The sequence below is a fragment of the Homo sapiens genome, chromosome 7 (genome assembly GCF_000001405.40).
Source record: "Homo sapiens chromosome 7, GRCh38.p14 Primary Assembly".
Classification (NCBI taxonomy): domain Eukaryota; kingdom Metazoa; phylum Chordata; class Mammalia; order Primates; family Hominidae; genus Homo; species Homo sapiens.
In genome coordinates, this window is record NC_000007.14 from 41,331,130 (window position 1) to 41,356,034 (window position 24,905).

General features: G+C 39.1%; 1 long non-coding RNA gene across 2 annotated transcripts; it reads left to right on the top strand.

The window, feature by feature from the left end:
• The first annotated feature begins 976 nt into the window (after positions 1 to 976).
• On the top strand, positions 977 to 24,575 carry LOC105375246 (uncharacterized). Of its 2 annotated transcripts, XR_927197.2 has the most exons (6): positions 977 to 1,048; positions 1,383 to 1,562; positions 15,003 to 15,092; positions 19,048 to 19,105; positions 20,820 to 21,066; positions 23,942 to 24,575. It is a non-coding gene; the product is annotated as an uncharacterized LOC105375246 (long non-coding RNA). The 2 variants fall into 2 exon arrangements; XR_927198.2 differs by lacking the exon at positions 20,820 to 21,066.
• The last annotated feature ends 330 nt before the right edge of the window (positions 24,576 to 24,905 follow it).

Genomic DNA, 24,905 nt, shown 5'->3' on the forward strand with positions numbered 1-24,905 from the left:
GTATTTGTGGTAAAAATAAACTGTGGTTCAGACTTTTTTGCTCTCTAACCATCCCTCTTTTTTCCAGGATGTTTTGTGAGATGATTGTTCTTTCAACAACACTTTGGGACATGTTGGGTATCACGAGTTTCTGCTACGTATCTCTGCCCTTGGTATTTACATGACAATTGCCCCCATTGGGGAAGTAGTTCATGAGATGACACAAGTATAGAGCAAGATAAAATTAATTTCAAAACAATTTTCGGAGGATTTTAGAAATGCCTACATCGGCAAATTTGCTGAAGATATAAAATGAAACAATTAAAAAGGGATAGGGCAGCTGGGCGCAGTGGCTCACGCCTGTAATCCCAGCCCTTTGAGAGGCCGAGGCAGGTGGATCACCTGAGGTGAGGAGTTCAAGACAAGCCTGGCCAATATGGTGAAACCCCGTCTCTATTAAAAATACAAAAATTAGCTAGGCGTGGTGACATACGTCTGTAGTCCCAGCTACTCGGGAGGCTGATGCACGAGGATTGCTGGAAATCAGGAGGTGGAGGTTGCAGTGAACCAAGATCACACCACTGCACTCCAGCCTGAGTGACAAAGCGAGACTCTGTCTCAAAAAAAAAAAAAAAAAAAAAAAAAAAAAAAGAATAGGGCTCATCTGAAAAGTTTCAGGTTTAATGACAAATGAGATTTGACTGCTCTTGAAGGAGCTGGCTACACTAGCTCTGCAGAGAGCAGCCCAGAATGTTAAGCAGTGCACTTGTCCAGGAGTTAGTGATCTAGGTTATAATTCACTTTATTTCACTGCCACTAACCAGCTGAGAGAACTTAGATAAGTCATTGGCCTTCTGTGAGTCATAAACACTCCCAACATCCCCTCCTCTTCTCTATTTTAATGACTCCTCAGTGCTCTAAGTCCTTAGAGTCTTTGTGACTTCATAGATCAGTTTAAATATTGGAGGAATGAGTTTTGGACCCTGACTACTTTTATCCTGGGTCATGGCTATCTTAATAAAGTGGATTCAAAATTAAACCAAACCAAGAACCATCTAGTTCATTCAGAGTAAGTTGAGAGAAATTTACATCCAAGGAACAAGAACAAGATACAATAGAAAAAGAACCCTCAGGAAATGTGAAGGAGCATTTTAAATTTAAAAACATGATTATTTTGAAATTTTTGAAAAGTAATAGTAAAAGAGAAAGGAAAAGAAAAGCTTTTCTCTACCGAAGAATGACATCTAATAAGAGAAAAGATGATACAAAAACTATTTTACAACACATAATGCAATTATTGATTTAGGGATTCAAGTGGAGATCATCAGTGAATGTAAGAATCATTTGGTGCTGGTTTCTTAAGTAGTAGAAAATTCACACAGAGCCAATGTATCATCCAACAGATCATTTACTACTTGAAAGGAGGAAAAATCTTCTACAATGAAAAGGGATTGCAGGTATTCCTTAATAAAATGACCATACTTCATGTCATGAATAGTGAAAGAATTGGACATCGTGGGTCTCCTGGAAGAATTGAATATGAAGAATACAACCTCACCTATGGACTATTATCATCCAGAGTGGTCAGTTTCAATTTAATCAAGACATTTTCCTTTGCTATATAATATGATAGCTAATTAGGCACATGTGAAAATTGAGAACATGATTTGTGACTAATTCAAATTAGTCACAAATGTGACTGTAAGTGTAAAATACACACCAGATTTCATAGATATAGTACTTTAAGAAGAAAGGTAAAATATATTAATGATTTTTATGTTGGTTACATAATGACATGATATATTTTGCATCTAATGGGTTGAATTAAATATATTATTAAATTTGTTTTAAAACTGGAGGAGGTGATAAAAGAGTGACAATTTATCTTTTGTTCAATAAGGATATAAAAACTGAAATCAGTGACATTAATATTTTATCAAATAATGAACATTTTGTCCACCCAATTAAGTAGGGAAAACATTCTAAAATAGGACAGCTAACATTGTATTCAATATAAAGATAAATAGGTAAATGTAGATAAAGCTCCTTATATATTGATTACAGTTTTGTTTTTTTTTTTTTTTGTAAATTTCTACAGACCAAGGGGAATACAGTCCTTTCTGAGGATGAGTGGGTGATTAGAAGGTGAAGGTGGTGTTAAGGGAGGGAGTCCAATCTCAGCGAAAAGAGTCAAAGGCCAGGAAGGGATAAGCATCATTGTTTACTAACCCCAGTAGGAAATTGAGGTCTCTTTCTCCTTGAGGCATTCATCAAACGACTTGGAAGAATTTTCTAAACATCATGATGAAACAAGGAAACATCGTCCTACTCATTAAGTTTCCCCTACGAGTTTAATACATTTGTTTATAAAATCTTTAGGTAACACTTTATAGTAATTGGCATTCTAAAATACTGGAGTCTATGGTGATTCAGAAAGCAATGATGATTTGTATCAATTTAATTGTCTCTTTTGAGACTTGATATCCATGGCAAACATCTTGTTCTGCTTTGTTCTTGGTGGTTAGTGTTACTGTATACATCCCATATGGGAGTAAAAGAGATTGTGGGTGGATGAATGAAGGGGAAAGCACTCAGACTAATCTCAGGGGACTGAAATAGTGAAGGAGTGAATCACAAGAGATTTGAAAGGTTTCACTGGTTTTGGAGAAAAGCCAAATCTGGAGTGGTGGGGGGATCTTTAAATTCTTTGATTCCCACAAAATTTTAAGGCACTTGGCTTTTCCTTGAGAATTTTGATACATTTGATGAAGATTAGAAAGATGATTTTTTAAAAATGTATACAAAACACAGTCTTGAATTGGGGAATTGAGTGGCTAACTTGAATTTGAACTTGTTTACCACTAGAAAATAATAGTTTCCTGTTTTTGTCAAGGGAGCAACATCAAAAAAGGTTTACAAATGAAAATTAAAAGGTTTCTTGGACAGCAAATACACCAGCAGTATTTTGGAAATTGGTTCTAAGTGAATCTGAAAAAAGGATAACTGTCCCCTGAAAGGCACATGGACTTGGTAACTAATGTGAAAATTGTTTAATAAATGACAATTTGGTCTAAATGTGACCTAATGAAGGATAGGAATGTGCTTTAATAGCCAGCTGTCTTCATTCTGTTTTCAACTTTCAGGATCATACAAAGTATGCGGACAGACTCTTTCCCTGTGACAGAGTCTTGATGAAATTCTGCGGGCTTCTCTAGGGAAGGTCTGATTTAGAAGATAAATGCTAATGTTAGCTTGAATTTCAGGTGTTTGATGCATCTTTGTATTCACTAAATTACAAATTCAGGGTCTGCTATGGGCTAGCTTCTGAGGCCACAGAGATGAACATGACCCAGTCTACCACCTCGTGAAGTTCATGGTCTACCTCTAGGGCCAGGATTTCTCCTGTAAGGACCAGATAGCAAATAGTTGAGACTTTGGGCCACAAGTCTCTGTTGCAATCATTAGGCCCTGCATTGTACCATACATAAGCAACTATGGATGATGCGCAAGCAAAAAGGCATGGCTATGTTTCAATAAAACTTTATTAACAAAACAAGCAGTAAGCAGGATTTGGCCCCTGAGCTGTAATTTGCTAGTGCTGGGCTAGGGGCAGAGACAACCATGGAGTAGGCAATTACAACACAGAGTAAGATGCTCATAGTGAAGGTGCTCTGTGAACCTGAAAGGAGAGAAGCAGTTCTCCCATGCCTGGGAGAGACATGAAAAGTGCATTCAAAACTGGGTGACATTCTGCTGAATATTTAATGATGAGCAGGATTGGGCAAGTGAACAAATGACTGTTTACTTTCCTTCTTAGTAGAAACTGTTCTCAAGCCCTTTCCACAACAAAGCATTTTTTTATTGTAAAATTTCACTGCAGAAGTACTTAAAAATATATTCTCTTAACTGGGCTCTTTACCTTATGAAGTCTCAATGACAACCAATATCCAGGCTAAACTTGAAGGGCCACTTTCTCATATGACTCTACAATTGTAGAGAAAAATCCTGGAATCACAATTTTTTTTTTGATTCATAGAAAAAGATACCAGAAGAAAGAGAATTTAATAACTGTTGAAATAAAAATTCAAATGATCTTATTTGCATGGCATAATAGCCAAGTTCTCTAGTTAAGCATATATATAGTTTTCTGTTTTATTGTAACAAATAACCACAAACTTAGGTGCGTAAAACAACACACATTTATTTTCTCAGAGTTTATACAGGTCAGAGTTATGGGCCTGCCTACGGCTGAGCTGAGTCTGTTGCTCAGTCTCACGAGGCTCAACCAAGATGTTGACCATGCTTTGTTCTCCTTAGGAAGCTCCACTAGGTTAGAATTTACATCCAGACTAATGCAGGTTGTTGGTAGAATTCATTTCCTTGTGGTTAGAGCCCTGACTTTTCGTAGGCTGCCCTCAGATCCTAATAGCCACGGCAGTTCCTGGAGCCTTCCTCGCAGTTTCTTGCCACATGGGTTTTGCCATCTCAGCCATTCAATGCATCAAGCCCACAGGAAAGTCTCTAGCTTGGTCTGTTAAGATAGATTCTGTTATAGCATACCCTAATGATGAGATTGATGTCCAATCACCTTTGCCATGTCCTATTAGTTAGAAGCAAGTTGCAGGTCCTGCCCACCCTCAAGGAGAGGGAATGAAACAGAGAGGAGTATGGGGAGGTGGGTACGATGGGGGCCACCTTAGAGTCTTTCTGCCACAAAATGCCCACTTTTTTGTGTGTGTGCTATGTTTGGCTTTCTTTGTAAGCAGAGGTTTCATTTATGAGCAGATATTGCCAATGACTACAGAGTAGTCAATAATAACAGCCCACACTGTGCACCAGACATTAAAATATGGCATCTTCTTTATACAAAAGATGCGATCTAGCCTCAAACAGGTTATGTTATGGAAGACAACATGATCACTGAGAACTTTGATTTGGCCAAGTCCTGGCTGACTTCAAAACCCCTCCTTTTAGTCACTATAGCAGAATGTGAAATTGTCTGATCCAGTCTTAAATATCACCATCCTCTCATCATACTATTCACAAATCTAGACGGAAATGCTCTCTCTAGTGCCAGTTCACTCCATCAGGGCCAGCACTGAGAATGGGCTGTCCCTCTTGTGGACTAGCTCACATAGTTGTGTGCTAAAGCTCTAGGTTTGCTTCTTCCTTGTGCCCTGGTGTCATGCCCAAAGGGATCCTGGCTTACAAGGGAGCTAACCCACAGAACAGCTGATACATATCCACTGATAAATAATCAAAGAACACAGTGCTGATTCTCAGTTATATTTGTTAGTAAGTCAAGAAATGAAAATGACTATAGGCTCTGGAAATAAATTATGTTCATTTTTTGTACCAATGGCACCTGTAATCTGAATTCAAATTTCAGAGGGAAAATAAAAAAGTGATCAGAAACAATGGAGAGAAAACAAATGCATGGAAACTTACGGTTCTACAAATCTTCTCTGAAAAGAAAGCCAAACATGTCCACAAAGAACAAAAGCAAAACGTTCATGTCCAAATCTGAGACATACTCCAGATATGGGTGGTGTTCATTTTTAAAATGGATATGATGTTGGTATTAATCAGCACAAATACCAGGATGGTTTGTGAGGCTCTGGCTTTTGAAATAAAGCTTTTAAATTGCACTGGTTAATAACTACAGAGTGAGTCTGAGAGCAATAACATGTCCTCTTAATAAAACTTTATGTATGAGTATTTTAATGAATTGTTTCAGTATACTTTCAAAGAGAGCCAAGTTAGTGGTTGAAAACAGAATAGGATTAAGTCCTTACTAAGAAACTCAATCCTAACAACTGGTACAAGAATTAAAATGAAGAAAGGAGCCTGTCTTACACACTAGCATTTTTGGAAGCTATTCTTTTTAGACACTATGTTTTAGAATTTCCAGGCATCTGTCTGTTGCTAGAATACCTACACACTTTGCGGAAGCTTTATTTGAAAATGCTGTGTACCTTGTCTAAAGGGCCAGCTGGGATACCAGAAATAGTATCGGCTCTATTTATGTCTTTGGAGTAATTACAGTGGAATTTAAAGACTTAGTTTATAGATCCAAGAAGAAGATCTTCTGTGTACACTAAAAGGATGAATCCTTTCCAGACGACTTCTCATTTGGCTGAAGAAGAGCTTGAGGAAGCATTTCATAACGTCAGCCAAAGTCGTTTTTAGTAAGACCTGGGTGGGATTCTTGCTGTTGATATCCAAATTAAAAAAAGCCTTGATTTTAATCTATCCAAGGTTACTTTGTTGTAGTTATGAAACCATGAATCAATTTTAAAGCTTTCAGGGATGAAAGGAGATATTGAGACAAGTGCCTGCTATCTTTTGTTGAATGGGGGAAAAATATGTTAACCAATTTCCTGATGGCTTCGCCTGGTGGACTTGACTTTTGTTTAGCTAATGTCTTTGTGGAATGCATCTCTGTTTTTCCCTATTCTTGCCCTGCCTCTTACCAAAGGCCAGTGTGTGCATGTGTTCAAGGAGAAAGATGCAGTGTGTGTGGTCAGCGTGCTGGTCTTCCATTTATTGGATGTGAGCTGGACTCTGCTCAGAGATGGGATGCTGAATGACAATGAAAATGATTATGTACCTTGAGGGAGATTACATGACTGTACACTCTTTTGGACAAAGAATGAAAGAATACTTACTTACAGAATCTGTATTATGCTGGCTCCCAGTCTTTTTTACTATGAAAATTAAACCCAACTCATTCTAAATGTGTCCTAGCAGACAACAAACCTTTGAGAGAATTCATTTTCATCACCCTCCAAAAAGATCAGGAAAAAAATCTCATTGGCTATTCATTCCCACAGTACATCCATTCTTTTAAACTTTCATGTGTGTTTAAGAGCCTCTATTGCTTTTATAAGCAATAATTATAGTGATTTAAACATATTGCTTGCTTACTCTGGTGTCACAGAGACTGCAACAATGAATAAGCTAAACGTAGCATTTGTCCCCGTGGACAACACTATGTATTTTCCCAACATTGTGTCTGATCCTTAAGACAACACTATCATAATGGTATTAGGAGCCCCACTTTATGGATGGAGAAACTACAAATGAGAGAGATGGACTGCCTTTTCCAAGGCCATAAAGCAAGGAAGTAATCAAGATTCAAATCCAAGTCCAAGTCCCTCTTACTTCTTAGCCACCTCTTCCCTCTTTTCTTCCCCATATGACTTCATCTATAACACAGAAATCAAAATGGTTTTGGAACTGCACGAGCTAAACTGATCATGACCTGGTTTGTAAAAAGTGAAGTATGCGTCCTCTGTGTGCTAGTTTGTTCTGTGGTTGACCTAGCCAATCTGGACAATACGCTTCTCAAAAATCCCCTTACCTCTGTTATTCCAGAGCTGGCCAGAAGAGAAGCTGGTGTGAAATTTGGGAGGCAAAGATAAAGCAGGACCCATTAGACTCTGAAGACCTTCCTGTGCTCAGATACGGTACAGGGAGATGCAGAGGTGCCCATGGCACCAGCTGGACAGGACTTTCTGACTTCAGAGCTGACCAACAGAGGTCATCACCCATCCCAAGATGCTGGCCTATGGACACACAGAGGCAGTGGTTACACAGAGATAGTAGCTTCCTAGACTTTTCCACAGGTAGTCCCTTTGAGAAGAGATGTGCTTGGCTTCCCACATTTCCCTGCAAAATCCAAATTGTCTCCAGTGCTTTCAGTGGGCTTGGAGGGACTTGCAACTCTCTGATCTTGCAACTACCCCTTCTGACCTTCTTTGCCCAGATTCTCCCACAATTCTTTAAGGCCCGCTTCCTTTTTCACAGGTTCTTCTACCCTGATGGAATTCTTTTTTATTGTTGTTTTTTTGAGACAGTCTTGTTCTGTTGACCAGGCTGGAGTGCAGTGGCATGATGTTGGCCCACTGCAGTCTCCGCCTCCCAGGTTCAAGCGATTCTCCTGCCTCAGCCTCCCAAGTAGCTGGGATTACAGGCACATGCCACTGTGCCTGGCTAATCTTTTGTATTTTTAGTAGAGTGGGGTTTCACCATGTTGGCCAGGCTGGTCTTGAACTCCTGACCTTAGGTGATCTGCCCGCATTGCCCTCCCAAAGTGCTGGGGTTACAGGCATGAGCCAACATGCCAGGCCTGGAATCCTGTTAATATATATGCTCAATTATTCATTTGCTGGGGCAAAATGAATGTTGGCCAAAGGCAAGCCATGGCCCAGCCTACAGATAATCTCTCTGAGCTTCCATGGAAGATGCTTGATCTTGGTTCAGGTAAGTTCTAGTACCACTTTGATCTTCACAAAAGGATGTCACTTCTGTTGTCAGCTTGAGTCATCAAGTATCTGCCCTTAATTAGAGACAGAAGCCTAAAATCTTTACCAGAGAATACCACAATCAGCGGCTCACTTTGCCACTTTATTAAACGCACTATTAATAGGGAATTCAATTCACAAGGCTTCAACCTTCTCCTAAGAGAGTTTTCAATTGAGGCTTTCAGTTCATATAGAATTGCTTCAAGCAGGCTTTAAAAATATTTGAATTTGTTGCTGATGTTTAAAATTTGGGAGATTTCATTTAAAAGACGGAGTCTTACTCTGTCACCCAGGCTGGAGTGCAATGGTGCCATCTCGGCTCACTGCACCCTCTGCCTCCTGGGTTCAAACGATTCTCCTGCCTCAACCTCCCAAGTAGCTAGGACTACAGGTACATGCCACCATAGCTGGCTAATTTTTGTATTTTTAGTAGAGACGGGTTTTTCACCATGTTGGCCAGGCTGGTCTTGAACTCCTGACCTCAGGGGATCCGCCTGCCTCGGCTTCCCAAAATGCTGGGATTACAAGTGTGAGCCACCGAGTCCAGCCTAAAAGTGTATTTTGAATTTCATTTTTTAAACATAGTTCCCCTGTTGCTGGGCCCATATTCCTAAACTGCAATGATGTACTTCATTTGTTTCTTGTTTGGCTCCTCCAACATTTGAACTGGTGACCCCTGGTAATAGTCCAGGTGTTATCACTGGAAAAAGGTTACTAACGTACATACAGACAGTGCTGTAAGGAAGAGGTAGGGAAAATCCCCACTGATTTGTTTCGAAGATGTTGAGGATGTTGTCGCCTTATCACTCATTTCCAGGGAGTCAACTGAGGAACAGAATAGTGCATTATTTGAGTTTAATGTCAAAGACATGTCCAGTCTTCTAGTTTTGATAACATGTGACAACACAGCTAAGGGCTGGTATTCTCACTTGCTCTCTGAAGGCCTTCCACTACAGGTCACTAACCTCACTGGCTGCCTGCACACCGAGGCCTGAGTTCTGCAGGCACCTCAGGATGTAGGATTACACAGCATCCTTCCCTGTTCACTCACATTCATGTTAGCATGGTCTGTCTTGCAGGTTTAAGCTCCAGGCTTGGCTGCTGAACTGGAGCGTTTCCTCCCATAAATGTATGATTTGCAACACTGTTGACTTTTGTTTAGCTTTCCTGTTTGTCATATCTTGCAATGCTTCCTTTCGGTTAAGAATATTTGGCAACTTTGTTGAAACAGGCTGGCTGCCTTAAACCAAAAATTTAAAAGTTTAATTTAGGTTGATTATTCTCTAAAGAAAAAAAAGGGGGATGCTTTTCGGCATAAATCTTCATTTCTTCATTGTAAAATATCTTTTTATCAGCTGATTTAATTAATAGACTTATTTATAAAGAACATGAGGCCTTCAAATATATATGGAAGTGGTGACATGAAAAGGACACATATAACCAGTACCTGGTACAAGGTTAGAAACAATCAATATTAGCTATTATTAGTATATGTGCAATATAAATTATGTGATTATGTTTCTTGTTTTACTTTGGCCTCCAGGAAGCTCCAAAGCAAATTTATGACTGAATTATAACTATCTTGTAAGAATTACATCTTCTGAACCCCCATGTGATTTTTCTGTCACTATTCCCTGATTCTATTTTTCCCCATTTAACTTTTTTTTTGTATTTTATAATCCATTGTGGAATGAGAATGATAGAGTTACATGGAGTAATTAAAATTCCCATCACCTAAAACCAGGATTAAAGCTACAATCTCCTAATTGGTTTATTCATCTTTAATTTCTGGAAAACACCAATTCAATTTACAATCTGAAATTAGAGCATTTTCTCCCTAAAATACATATTTATGTATAATTCTAACATAGTTTTTAAAAATTACCTCCTAATACATAAAACCTAAACATCTTAGCCTGGCATTGAAACATTCCACAAAGTGACTTTGACCTGTTTCTTCAGTTGTATGATTTCTGTTTGATATTGCAACTACAGCCAAGTCAGCTTTTCCATATCAGGCAAAATGTAAGGCACACAATAGATACAAGGACGAAAAGGACTTATGTGGGCAAAATCCTTGGGAAATGCACCATGACTGACAGTTCTCTTGAGTTTTCATACCACTGATATATGGAAGGCTTTGATTCTTCTTGTTTTAGACACCATTTGGGGCCAAACATGTACAATGGGGACACTTTTTTCCAAATAGGAAAGATAAAGTTAGAAAACTGAAAAAAAAAAAAAAAAAAAAAAAAAAGATGGGATTCATTTTGACTTCCTTGTTTCCTTCCTTCCTTCCTTCCTTCCTTTCTTTTTCTTTCTTTTCTCTCCCTCCCTCTTTTCTTTCTTTCCTTCCTTCCTTCTTTTTCCTTTCTCTCTTTCTATCTTTCAGACAGGATCTTACTCTGTCACCCACCTGGAGGGCAATGGTGCGATCATGGCTCACTGCAGCCTTGAACTCCTGGCTCAAGCGATCCTCCCACTTTAGGCTTCCAAGTAGCTAGAACTATAGGCAAATGCCACCACCATGCTAGCTCATTTTTTTGTAGAGACAGGGTCTCACTATGTGATCACCAGTCTGATCTTGAACTCCTGGCCTCAAGTGATTCTCCTGCCTCCAGCCTTCAAAAGTACTGGGATCACAGGTGTGAACCATCACACCCCACCAAGTCTACATTTCTTGTAAACAACACAAAGCCTACTTAAGCTCTTTACTGGCCTAGGAGTACATCTGTGTGGAAGTGTTTTGTTTTTCTTTTTTACAGTAAGGCCAGTTTCCAAGCTCTCAAGACTTTTATGACCTTCTCTCACTAGGCTTCATTTTTGCCTCTGAATAATTATAGTCCCCCACTAATTTATCTGTCCTCCCTTCACTCATTCATTCACTCAATAAATATTGATTGAGCCCTTTCTATGTGCCAGGCATAGTGACTGGTATTGAAGACAGTGAAGAACAAAATAGGTAAGTGCTTGCCTTCTTGAGTTAGGGGAGAGTAAAAACCAAAACTAATCACATAAGAAATGTAAGATCATAAGTTCAGATATGAGCTATACAGCAATTGATTTATGAGAACTATATAGCAATTGATATTACAGGGTAAGTACATAATACCGAATGTGTTCATCTAAGGGCAGGGTTAGGGTAAGGATAGGGGATGAATGTGCAGGAACTGTGTTAGGATGGTCTTAGAAGGTTTATCTGAGGGAATTACATTTTGAAAGAGGAAAGGGAAGAAATCAACGGCAGGAACTAGCTCTCCAAATTAGACTGTTACCGACAAAGCTGGTCCCTCCAAAAATGGGGTCTTTCCCTGTTTGATTACTGGAAGCCAATATACAAAACCAAAAGTGAGTGTCAAACAGTGCAGGTTTTATTCCATGGCCATGAAATTGAGAAGAGGGAGCATGGTTCACAAATCAACTTCTCAACTAGTGAAGGGTAAGGGGTTTAAGATATAGGGTTTCTCTGATGAAGGGGTTGGACACTCAAAGTGAAAGGAGGGCTTGAGACCAGCCTGGCCAATGTGGTGAAACCCTGTCTCTACTAAAAATACAAAAATTAGCCTGGTGTGATGTTGCATGCCTGTAGTCCCAGCTACTGGGGAGGCTGAGGGAGGAGAATTGCTTAAACCCGGGAGGCAGAGGGTGCAGTGAGCTGAGATGGCACCATTGTACTCCAGACTGGGTGACAGAGGAAGACTCCATCTCAAAAAAAAAAAAAAAAAGAAAAGAAAAAAGAAAAAGAAAAAGAAAAGAAAAGTGAGAGACGGAGTATTCATGTCTTTTCTGAAAATGGGTGGTGAACTTCTTGGAACCAGAGTGCTACCTTCCTTTTTGTCCTTTTGTGGCTTTTTCCAGCCATTGCCACAGTGATTGCCAACTGTCATGGTGCTGATGGCAGTGTCATTTAGCATGGAAATGAGATTATAAGAAAACCTGAGGTATTTTTGAAGTTTCAGCCCTCTTGGTCCTAACCAGTCTCAGCTGGTATGGTTACAAAGGGAACTTTTAATCATAGGCATCCTGTTTCTTAAAGATAAGCAGAGTTAGGGCAGGGTAGACATTGAGCTATGTCAGGTAGGCATTACACTGGACAATAAGACCATTTTATAGAGATTAAATTAAAGTTCTTATAGAAGAGTGTAGCAAGTAACAACTTTAAGGATATGTATAGTATAGGCAGATAATACAGTCAAAAAGACAAATTTTAAGTCATTTATTCCTTTCATATTTTAATATTCTGTGATCTTGAAAATTATATGTGATACTAATCCCTGTCAATTAAGGAAATAACCTGATATTTCTTCAAATAAACATTGAGTGGCTACCAGGTCCCAATCTCAGTATATGTGTCCTTCAGGGCACACAGGGTGGTGAGAATCAGGGCCACAGACTAGATAATTCCCTAGTGACATAGGATTGCTGAGGGACAAGCCAACCAGTAGAGTTGAGAAGCAACAAAAAGGGCCACCAGCAACCTGGTGTTTCAGGAAAAGCTTCCTGCAAGTGAAGATGACTGATCCCAATCTGAAGGATGATTCAGAGTTAAATGGGAGAAGGGAGGATAGCATGAGCAGAGGCAGAAAAGTGACCAATAGTGTGAAGATGTGAATAAGGATTGAGACAGGTCTGCAAAGATGGAATTGATGTTGTCAACAAACAGATGATGGTTAAATCCAAATGGGTGATAGCATAATGAGCATATATCTAAAAAGCATAGCAGACAGACAACTGTGTGGCAAAACAGGAGAGTTCCAGGAAGGGCACAGAGAGGGAATGGTCACTGAGGACCAGAGAGAGGACAGTCAAGGCAGGAAAGTGATTCCAAGTAGAAAGAATGTTCCGTAACATCAAAGGAAGCCAGGACACCCAGCAAGATAAGCACTGGTGCAGTATCACTAGATTCTGAAAGAAGATGGTCTCAGATGGCCTTTCCAAAAGTGGTGAGGGCTGGAGGCTGATGCAGGCTGATCGGGTCGTGGAGTGAGAGGATGAGACTTGAGGGAGTGGAGAGGTGGCACGACTTCCGCAAGAACTTTCATCCCTAAGGGAAGAATGTCGGAGGGCCGACTCACAGAGGACACAAGAGCCCAGAGAGTTTTTCTGCTGCTGTTGTTTTGTTTTTTAAGTGTGCAAAGATTCAAACATTTATTTAGGCCAAGGGAAAGAAGCCAAGACAGAAGGGATGGTTGAAGATAAAACAGTAAATATTGTATTTGATTGATCACGGTCTTGAAGGAAAGCAGATGGGACCAAGGGCAACGCTGAAGATGTTGGCATTGGACACGAGACAGGGCGTCTCATTCTTTGACCATGGAGACAAGAGGTAGGGAGGGACAGAGAAGGGGAATTTCAGTGTGGTGAGGAGGGGCCAGAGGTCCAGGTAATCCACACCTGTGACATGAAAGGAGGAGCCTTGGAGTGAGGCTGTGGCATCAGATAAAAGCCTCAGGAGAGGTAATGTATAGAAGGGACCCTGGAGAGGGGGAGAGTAGGAGCCAGCTCAGGCCAAATTCAAAGACTGGTGGATAAAGCTGAAGGTGGCCTGGCTGAGACTGAAGACTATGAATGAAGCGAGGCAGCAATCCACCCTACTGTGTGATTCTCTCTTCAGCAGAATGCAATAATTTCAGAATATAAAAGAGAAAATGAAACATGGTGGATCTGAGACTTTTTCTGGATGGTATATCAGGAAGTGGGAGGGACTGAAAGGAACAACTGCAGGGAGGTGGGAAAGGGGGGCTCAGGGGTTGACACTGAACATGGTGGTGGTAAAATAGTAATCTTGGACATCACCCTTTCATCTCGGCTGAATCAGGAAAAAGACTGAAAGGTTGGACAGTCAATGAGAACAGAGAAATACACTGACTGAGGTTCTCTGTGAGATGCAGAGTCAGATAGTGGGAGAAAAAGAACATCAAATATTAATGACGTGCCTATGAATGGAAACAGAAACTCTAGTCCCGATATTTCATATGTTTCCATAAATATTGCTAAAACTAAATCAACTGAGTTGGAAACCCACTGAGAGCCTATGATGTTTCCTGGATTAGTAAAAGGTTGTGCTGATCATTCCATGTTTCCATTGTCTAATGCTGGTGGGCGAGTGCTGCATTTTCAGGTGATACACTATGCTAGCCAAAGGCTTAGTCTAAGGTAGATTTATTGGACAAGGATTCCATTGTCCTCCTGATCATAAAAATACAAGACCAGTTATATATGCAGGCTACTCTGAGTGTGCACAAGTCTCTTTCTGATAACCACCCTGAAGATGGTTTTATTAAACTTAACCTTGGGAGGGGGATTCCTTTTTGAAATGTAATCAAAGTCTAGGGATTAAATTTTGACTAATCGATACAGACCACCCAGTTGAGAGATTGCTCATCCTAAGGGACATTGCTTCCCACACCCTCAAAGACTCCAGCTTTTTACTGTGGCTCAAGTCCTTTGAGTGGCAGTAGAAAATCCAGCAGTGATGATAGGAAAGCCCTCATGGCTTCCTTTCACAGCTTTCCAGACTTCGGGATTTTAACTCTTTATGAAGATAAAAAGTAAACATCAATGTGTATGTACCATGCATGAATTACTCAAAATTTAGATGGCAAATTGAATTTCATTGCTGTTTCGTGCACTATGGAAAACAAATAAGAAATTATCTGGAGCAGAAAATAAAATGATTTACATATTTTAATAATGTCTTATTATTTTACCTTCAAGCTGCAAAGCTCTTGCAAAGCAAAAAGGCCCATGGAAGATGGGACATGCTTATGTGAACAAGACCTCATGTCAACTCCATTCCTCCCCCAGGTGGGTTATATCACATTTACTTCTGTCTCTAGTAGTAGTTCGTGGTTGCATGTTGCATTTCTAAATCACTAAGAGTCTGAAAATGCAAGTTATGTTCTCTCAGTACCTGTCCCTCAGGCCTGCTCCCCAGATCCTATATCAAAGCATGTATTTGGAAGGGGCTTCCAGTGTCATGCCTTGTGCATGTGGTCAGTTGACCAGGGCCCCTGCATTTAGGGGATCTTGCTCCTCCTAACACTCATCTTCCCATCAGCATGGGTAACCCCAAGTGCAACTGGAGTGTCTCAAACTCTTCAAGCTATTTTCTTAAAAAAAATTTTTTACGCCTCTAAATCTAAAACGTTCTCTGCCATTTAGTTTTCTCCTTAATTTTTTGAACCCAAGGGTATTTTAAAAGAAAATGTTATCCATATGTTTTTGATTCATTTACACTTAAATCATTAAAAGCCTGTTTTGTAGAGCTTTTTGATGTCCAAAAAGTTTTTTCTGGGTCCTTTTTATAAGTAATTTAAAGCTGGTCTCCCTTCCTTTTTCCTCCTACCCTGCCCCTCACTTAGAAAGGAAAAAAAAAACCCAGAAAGTTGAATTTTGCTGGGAGCAGATGATTTTTAACCCCAAAGAACAGGGTCTGTTAAACCCTCAGGCCACACAGGTCAATTTGTTTCTAACTTGGGGTGTGTGCAGTCTCATGCCCCAAATTCAGACATCAGGTAGTTAAATGTGATACCTTTCCATTATCATATAAGTCCACAAAACTATGACAATGTTTTTGTTAGCAGTCTTATTGCCAAAAAAATGATGCCCTGCAGAGTCTATTGACAAACCCTTGGCACACACACTTCGCATGGCACACGCCACACGTCATGTGGTCAGCCCTGCTCTCCTCCCTGCCAGCACCCCAGCGAGTATTGTCATTTGTAGGTTTCTCAGCATTCTTTTTGCATAGTCAACACTTGAATATGGGTTCTCAACTCAGCATCACTGAGCTTCTCTAGACCACTGAAATTGGGCCTGTGAGGGAAGAATATCACGGAGGCTATCAGGGACTCTGAATTACTTCCTTAAATATTGAGAAAACCAAGCTCTGGGGGGAATTAATTTTGTGGGGAATGTTATGTGTGTCAACCCTTGCCTTCATGTGAAGACACCGGGCATTCAGTGTTCACTAACAGCATGTGAGGCTTTCAGCCTAGGCTTTCTTTGGTGTCTTCCCATGTTAATCTTGGGCATCTTATTTTGAGCCTATTTGCTCTTTGCACTACATTATGATACTGAGAAGTTAATGAATAGTTTTCCTCCATATGAATATTTTATGCTAACCAAACTTGCAAGCGAAATATTAATAGTAGTACTAATGGGACAATTAGTTCTCAAATTGTGGGTTATTTATAAATAAAATAATTCCTGACATAATACTACATAGCAGAAGCCAAGGAAATCTGCATACCCCTTAACTTACCAATTTAACTTTCAGAAATTTATGCAAAGGGAGCAATGATAGATTAGTACCAAGAATTACCTGCAAGAGTTTGTTTCTCATGGTGAAATATTTGAAATAATATGGATAACTTACCCAATATAAATAACTAGGGGACTGAATCAATGAAGCAAACTGGTTCATAAAAAGCAAAATTGCATTCATTTGTAATATGATTGTAGGAGAACATGCGGTGATAGAAGTTTCTTGCAATATACTGAGTGTAAAATGGTAAATTTTATAAGGGAGTTACCACATGATTCTATGTGGAGCCCAAATAAGGGATAATAGCTAAAACTAAAACATTAAGGATAATTTTAATTTTCTTATTGCATATATTCTAAACATTTTACTTATTATTGTATTTATTTATTTTTTTGAAACAGAGTCTCATTCTGTTGCCCAGGCTGGAGTGCAGTGGCACAATCACAGCTCACTGCAGCCTTGAGTTTCTGGGCTCCAGCAATCCTTCCACGTCTGCCTCCCAAGTAGCTGGGACCACAGGTGCATGCCACCATGCCCTGCTAATTTTTGTATTTTGGTAGAGAGGAAGTTTCACCATGTTTCCCAAGGCTGGAACTATTTTCTGCAAAGTTTTTGTAATATACTTTTGTAACATTTATATTTAAAACACACTGGCCGGGTGCGGTGGCTCACTTCTGTAATCCCAGCACTTTGGGAAGCCAAGGCAGGCAGATCACTTGAGGTCGAAGTTCAAGACCAGCCTAGCCAACATGAAAAACCTCTTCTCTACTAAAAGTACAAAAATTACCTGGGCATGGTGGTACGCACCTGTAATCTCAGCTACTTGGGAGGCTGAGGCATGAGAATTCCTTGAATCTGGGAGGTGGAAGTTGTAGTGAGCCGAGATCATGCCACTGCACTCTAGCCTGGGCAACAAAGCGAGACCCTTTTTCAAAAAAATTTTTTTTTTACAATGTCTTTCTGAAGTGAAAAAAGTGGATGGAAAAAGATTTCCAGCACTTAATCTAGGGCATGTATGCATTTTTCTAAGAGCGTCAATTACAAACACCTTGTGACCGTATAAACTTGTCCTAATCTCTATACCAAATGCTAACCTTTCACCTTTTCTAACTTCTGCTGAGGATTAACTACATAATAATAATTTCATCTGTGATCCAAGAACACAATAGTAAGCCTTATCATCAGAAGACAGCATCTCTTGAGAAGCCATATATTTCCATTTATTGGGACTATCTTAGAGTTTTTAATAAAAATCCTATTAATAATACAAGATTTCTCTAATAGTATAAGTAAGCACTAGGACCTTCATACCACACAAGAATCCTAGTATGATCAGTGAATTAGTGACCAGGTAAAATTTCAAACAATAAATTAATAGAGTTCTCTATAGAATACTTGTATTTTTGGGTCTAGTGATATTTTCCCAAGATTTTATTATAATTGCAATCAGTGTTCTAACTTAAATAATTCTAACTTAAATAATGTCTGGTTGATAAATCATTCCATTAGTCCCATTCATGACAGCATTTTTCATGCAGAAAGCATCTTAGTGGGCACCACTTGGACTGTCATTCTGTCCTGCCAACAAGTTACCATCTCCTGCCCTTTCATTTTGCCTCACCACTGTGAACCTGAAAAATCCTAAACTCTCACACTAAAAAAAGTTAAACACAATGAACCTTCTCCAATCCCACTTATCTCATTTAGTCCTCACAAAAATTCTACGAGGTGGACACTATGTTATTACTCTTTTCTTTCAGATGAAGAAACTGAGATTCACAAAAGTCAGGGAATTTGACCAGTGGGCCACAGATAGGAATTAGCAGAGGCAGGGTTCAACCTCAGTGCTGTCTAAATTCAGGGTCCATGTTCTTAGCTGATATGCTGGCCTCCTATTCTTTTGAAAAGTGACAATGCAAAGAAAATACTTAGCACAGTCTCTGGTACATACACACACAGTATCCTTTTATCCGCCCAGCCAAATGGAATGCATTATGCCTAAGGAACAAAAAGGAGAGAAGTACGAATCCTCCTCTCAGTTTTTAGGGTATCTGCAGTAACTTCTTAAATATGCAAGCTAGAGCATCAGCTCTGTTTCATTTCCACGTCCTATAAATTTGCTATATAGTTTCTGGCAATACAATTATTAGGATAAAATTCAACTGCTGTTAACACCTTGTGGAGGTCCAATAATCCAGGCATCCTCCACCCCCAGGGCCACAAACCAGTACCGGTCCGTGGCCTGTTAGGAACCGGACTGCACAGGAGGAGGTGAATGGCAGGCGAGCGAGCAAAGCTTCATCTGTATTTACAGCTGCTCCCCACTGCTCGCATTACCACCTGACCTCTGCCTCCTGTCACAGCAGTGGTGGCTTTAGATTCTCACAGGAGCGCAAACCCTGTTGTGAACTGTGCATGTGAAGGATCTAGGTGGCACCCTCCTTATGAGAATCTAATGCCTGATGATCTGTCACTGTCTCCTGTCACCCCCAGATGGGACCTTCTGGTTGCAAAAAAACAAGCTCAGGGCCCTCACTGATTCTACATTCTGGTGAGTTGTACAATTATTTCGTTATATATTACAATGTAACAATAATAGCAATAAAGTGCACAATAAATATAATGTGCTTTGATCATCCCAAAACCACCCCCCTACCCTGGTCCGTGGAATAATTGTCTTCCACAAAACTGGTCCCTTGTGCCAAAAAGGTTGGGGACCCCTGCAATAATCCATCCTAATAGACATTGGCCAACAGGAAGGAAAAATATCTGAAAAATGAATCCCACTACTGAAAATTACTTTACATAATTTAAAATGTCTCCTTTTGTTTGTATGTTTAGACTATTTCACAATACCTAGGAAAAATAATTGTGATACTTTTTTAGCATATTTTCCCCCATTCATGACATAACAGTTTGTGTTACTATTATATATAAACACTTAAAAGTACTGGTACCCCCCCATTGACTCAGTGTTTTACAATTAATTAATCCTGATTAATCCTATTATCAGGATTAATAAATAATCCAAGAAAAGTTCTTTTAGAACCTAGGATGGATGTGATATACATTTTAGGTTATGGTTATTATTAAAAATAATCACAGAAATACAATTCTTCCATATCACTATGTCACAGTAAATGTTAAATGCATATGAGAACAAACTTCATATCTGAGTAACAATAAGGCTTAAAACTTACATTTTCAAGTTATTATACTGACTTCCAGATTTCAGAGTAGTTCTTTGCAGAGTGGAAATGTTTAAGTGAACAAACATCCAAATATGTTTCATGAATGATTTCATTTCTTCTGTCTCACAACGTCCATTAAACTTAGAGGACACAACTAAGTCCCACAGAAAGCAGGTCAAAGACAAACAGTAGTTGACCAAGAATAGCCACTCAGCAGCAATTAAGTCAAAAAAGTATCTACAAAAATAAAAAAGCTACACTTCCTTTGATTGACAACCAAATATAAACAGCCACACTATGCTATATAAATTTCATAATTATAGTATGCAAATTTAGATTCCTTTTTACAGCCTGTGTTTTGAATCTCTCATGATAATGATTCTGTGGTCACAGACTGGCCACCCCACCCTACAAATTCCATCAAACAAACCTTATCTGAAGATGTGGTGCCCAGAAGCAACGGAACTTAGCCTCCTAAGGGTTAAAGAAGTCAAGTCACTTAAAAATAGGGTAGAAAAAGGCACAAAGGAATCCTGTTAGGGTCTGTTGAAGATTAACAGACCACCACACAAAAGCCCCAAAGCATCCTTCAACCTTCTGAAAAAAAATGTACTAAAAATGTTACTATGGGAACAACCAATTAAATAAACCAATAAAAGAGGACAACTATCTACACCTCAACAAAACTACACAAACAAACAATAAAAAAAAGTACTGTAAATCAATCAAGTTTTAAATGTTACCAGAAAGGTTGAGAGTGGAGGAGGGCATAGGAGAGCAACAAAAATAAAAACCTTTAGCTTATCATAAATAAAACAAAAGTAAAATATCAAAAATAAAATCAACAGTAGGACCCAAGACTGAAAGTAGCACCCTTATAGTTAATACAAATTCCCTGTCTATTTGGTGATGTTAATGGACTATTTACAATTTTATCCTAAAATTGTGGTTTTGCATCAGCAACACTTGGAGGAGTCTAGAAACTGTTTGTAGGTCCTACTAATTGACCATTTCTCTGGGAAATGAATAAAATAGGCTCATGACCACACTGTGAAGCATTCTTTATACTTTCAGTTGCTGTCTCATGGACCGAGAGTTTTCGCTGTGTCTCAGAGACAATTTCAGCCCTCTCTTAGTTCGGAGGACAAGAGCCGAAGGCCTGACTTTCTCTTAATTGGGAAACCAGTCGTCTATAGGCCAAGAAAGTAAATCCATCCACTTGACCCAAAGCTTTTTGGATGCTGAAAGCCTTTTCCATTTTAAGTTATGGTATTGTGACCAAGGACAGAAGTCTTTCACAGAGGACTAGTAGGAGAAATAGGTGAGAAAATTAACTGCAAGTATGGTGAACTGCTTTGAGGAAAATCCTTGTAGAAAGGTTCATTTGTCTCATCTGTACCTCTCAATTGCTATGTCTGTCTGTAAAGGCTATTCATGGAATTGATTAAACGCATGCATTCACATTACTTCCAAACTAACTTTGAGGCTAGGGGCTAACAGGGGACTGTGATTCTCAGGCATCTCTAGAGAACCCTATCTATTGTGACAACTTGGAAAATACCTCTTTGCTACCAGCCCTTCTTACACTTTATTTATTTATTTATTTATTTATTTATTTATTTATTTATTTGTTTATTTATTTTTTTGAGACGGAGTCTTGCTCTGTCGCCAGGTTGGTGGGCAGAGGCGCGATCTCAGCTCACTGCAAGCTCCGCCTCCCGGGTTCACGCCATTCTCCTGCCTCAGCCTCCCGAGTAGCTGGGACTGCAGGTGCCCACCACCACACCAGGCTAATTTTTTTTTTTTTAGTAAAGACGGGATTTCATCATGTTAGCCATGATGGTCTCGATCTCCTGACCTCGTGATCCGCCTGCCTCAGCCTCCCAAAGTGCTGGGATTACAGGCGTGAGCCACCGCACCCGGCCCCTTCTTAAACTTTTAAAAGATAAAACGGAACTAGAAAAACATTAAAAGACATGTAATAAAAGCTGTATACAACACAAGAGAACACAATTCTCCTTTGCTTTCCTGGGAGGAGCCACAATAAGCCTACATGAGAGGAGGTCAGATTATGTTTATTTTAGTTTGTGCAAACACATATTTTTGGATTCCAATAATCGTAATTGAAGATTCTCAGTGACAATGGTTTCCGGACATAAATCATAGGTTGATTATACCACTGTCATAACTTCTGGATTCTTAATGGGAAATATAATTTAGTCATTCCCTACTTCTTTCTCTCTCTTTCTCTCCAGCCTCCACTTGTACTTTTGCACTTAGAGATAATGTAAAATCATGGTATTTAATAACTAAAAATTTCCTTTGTGTTTCAGGTCCATTAGAGTAAAAAAAAGTTCCAGTTGCCTATTGTGCTTGGAATGGAATGTTATATATTTAGTGACACTGTTATTTGCCATTTCTGTGTTCCTTTAATCTCTAGGGCAATGGAGATTTTCTTGGCAATCTAGACTGAGCCTCAGTCGTGGGAGACAGACCTGATGTACTTATTATTGTTTCTGGGGAGATACCAAAGTAATTGAGTCTTAACTATTTATTTGTTAGCAACCTATGGTTCGTCAACAGATGTTCAAAGGTCTTTAAGCTTGAAGCTTTTGTAGTCTGAGGCAAAACCATTTTCTAAAAGGGTGGAGTCTGCCTCTTTCTCTTTGTTTACCCATTGTGGACTTGGAAACATTACTGGGGCACTGTTCAATTAAAAGTAATGGAAAACCTCACTTAGAAGAACAGTAAGCATGCTTTCAGAAAGGATGGGAGAACTTGTTGGGCTAATTTTAGTTGTAGTTCAAATTTAAATTCTTTGGTTTTTTAGCTTTCTTGACAATGATGAAATACAGCTTCCTATGTCTTTAAAGACCAAACTTTAAGATTTTAAAAGTATTTTGAGATCAAATGGCTATTACATGAATATATTTTGATAACTGAAGTGAAAATGAATTAGAAACATACAACAAATAGCGAATTTTTAAATTAAGGTAGATACTGTTCAAAAGAATACACATTTTATTTATCTGGGCAACATGCATAAGTATAATTGATAATATTCAAACAATTCTAAACTTGATGTCAGACGACGTATGGAACATTAAATAATTCATGGAGTGATTCAGAATGTGAACTCTACCAAAGTGTAAAGTACAGAGATCCAGATGCATTTTAAATAGTAAATACCATAAACGTATTGCTTTATGGAAAAGAAGATGAGACAGGTAAACATAACCATCCTCTTTTTTTGCGGGGGGAGGGGGACAGAGTCTCACTCCATCGCCCAGGCTGGAGTGCAGTAGCGCAATCGTGGCTCACTGAAACCTCTGTCTTCTAGTTCAGATGATTCTGCCTCAGCCTCCCGAGTAGCTGGGATTATAGGTGTGCACCACCATGCCCAGCTAATTTATTTATTTATTTTTGTATTTTTAGTAAAGACAGGTTTTCACCATGTTGGCCAGGCTGGTCTTGAACTCCTGACCTCAAGTGATCCACCCACCTCAGCCTCCCAAAGTGCTGAGAATACAGGTGTGAGCCACTGCACCTGGCCACCATCCTTTTTAGTCTGATTTCACATCACCAAGGACCTAAGTCATGGCTGGGTGAATTGCTTCTATTCTACCTTCATTAGCACACCTACAAAGGTCTACTTTGCTGCAATATTATGCACATATATCATCCAACTATACACATGCACACCAAATACCGGGTAGAGGAAAGATAATTAAGAACAAATCCCTGTGGATACTCCAGTAAAAGTATAAAAGGCATTGAAGGACAATTACATCAACTCTGTTTTAATTAAACCATTGTTTTTTCCATTGTTTCAAGAGTCAAACAATGGAAAATGTTTTACCACCTCAGTGCCACTCCCAAATCTGTCCCCCAGGTCCCTACCCTTGACATCATAAAATGCATCTCAGACATTCTCATACTATCCATCCTTTCTTTTTTTTTCCTTCTTTATTCCTGGGACCCACAGTAGGGAATACAGATTGATAGTCAGTAATTTTAGGACAGTGAAGAACAAAGTACATAAGAGTAGAATATTTGTTCTTGTCTATTAACACCCTGAGTGTTAATAGAAGTTTTTTTTTAATTTAAGAAATTTCTAATCTAATTAGAGAGGCTACAACATTTATAATGTAACATATTTCATCTCTTTGATGCAAAATTCTTGTTTCTGTTCACAGTGCCCAGTCCAATGCCTGGCACACAGGAAATGCATGCTGGATGAACATGTCTTGAGCAGCAAAACTGGAGACCTTGCTGAATATATCAGGGGTTGCTGTATAATTTACTGTGTTCTGTCTGTCCAGTGAATTCCACATTATAGTCAGTTCATTCATTCTACAAGTATAGTAGTTTAGTTGCTACTGTTTCTAGACTATGCCAGTGAGCCTCTGTGGTCAGCTTTTACCCTATGTTCATGTAGCTCCATGGCCCTGGGCTGCACCTTTGGGGAGATGTGCTTCCTCTTTAGTGTAAGAAATGCCGTAATCTATTATTTCTCATCTATCCTTATTTTGTAACAACTCCAGTAGTTAGTATAAATGGAGAATATGAGATTCTACTACGAACTACAGAATCAAAGATTGGAAAAACCTACATTTTCAAGAAAGAGGAGAGTCGAATAAAGCTTGGTACATTAGGAGGATACCATGCTTTGTTTCCATATAAAAGTGTGCTTCTGTAAGTATTGACATGTGTATACATAAAATATCTCTGCAGGGGGATTAAACAAGAAATCTGTAAAATTGACCATCTGTAAGTGGTAGGGGGTTGGGCACTGTAAACCGGTAGGAAGGAAGGCTTACTGTCAACCATCTACTTACCTTTTTAACAATTTAATTTTACCAACTGCGTATGTTATTTTTTCAAAATAAACATTTTTGAAATTTCAAAATAATGTATAGTTTTATTTAAACATATTTGACAAAATACTAGAAGCTTTATTTTCTAGGAAAATTAAAATTATAAATTTGACAGAAGATGAAATATTAGGCCTCAATACATCAATCTAGGAAAAAGTAAACTACTATCGAAAGGCATCAGGCCCATATAGTTTTGCATAAGCTACATCAACCTTCAGGGACTCACAATTCCTATAAAATATATATGTTTTTAAATTTCACATTATAAAAGATGATAAGAAGC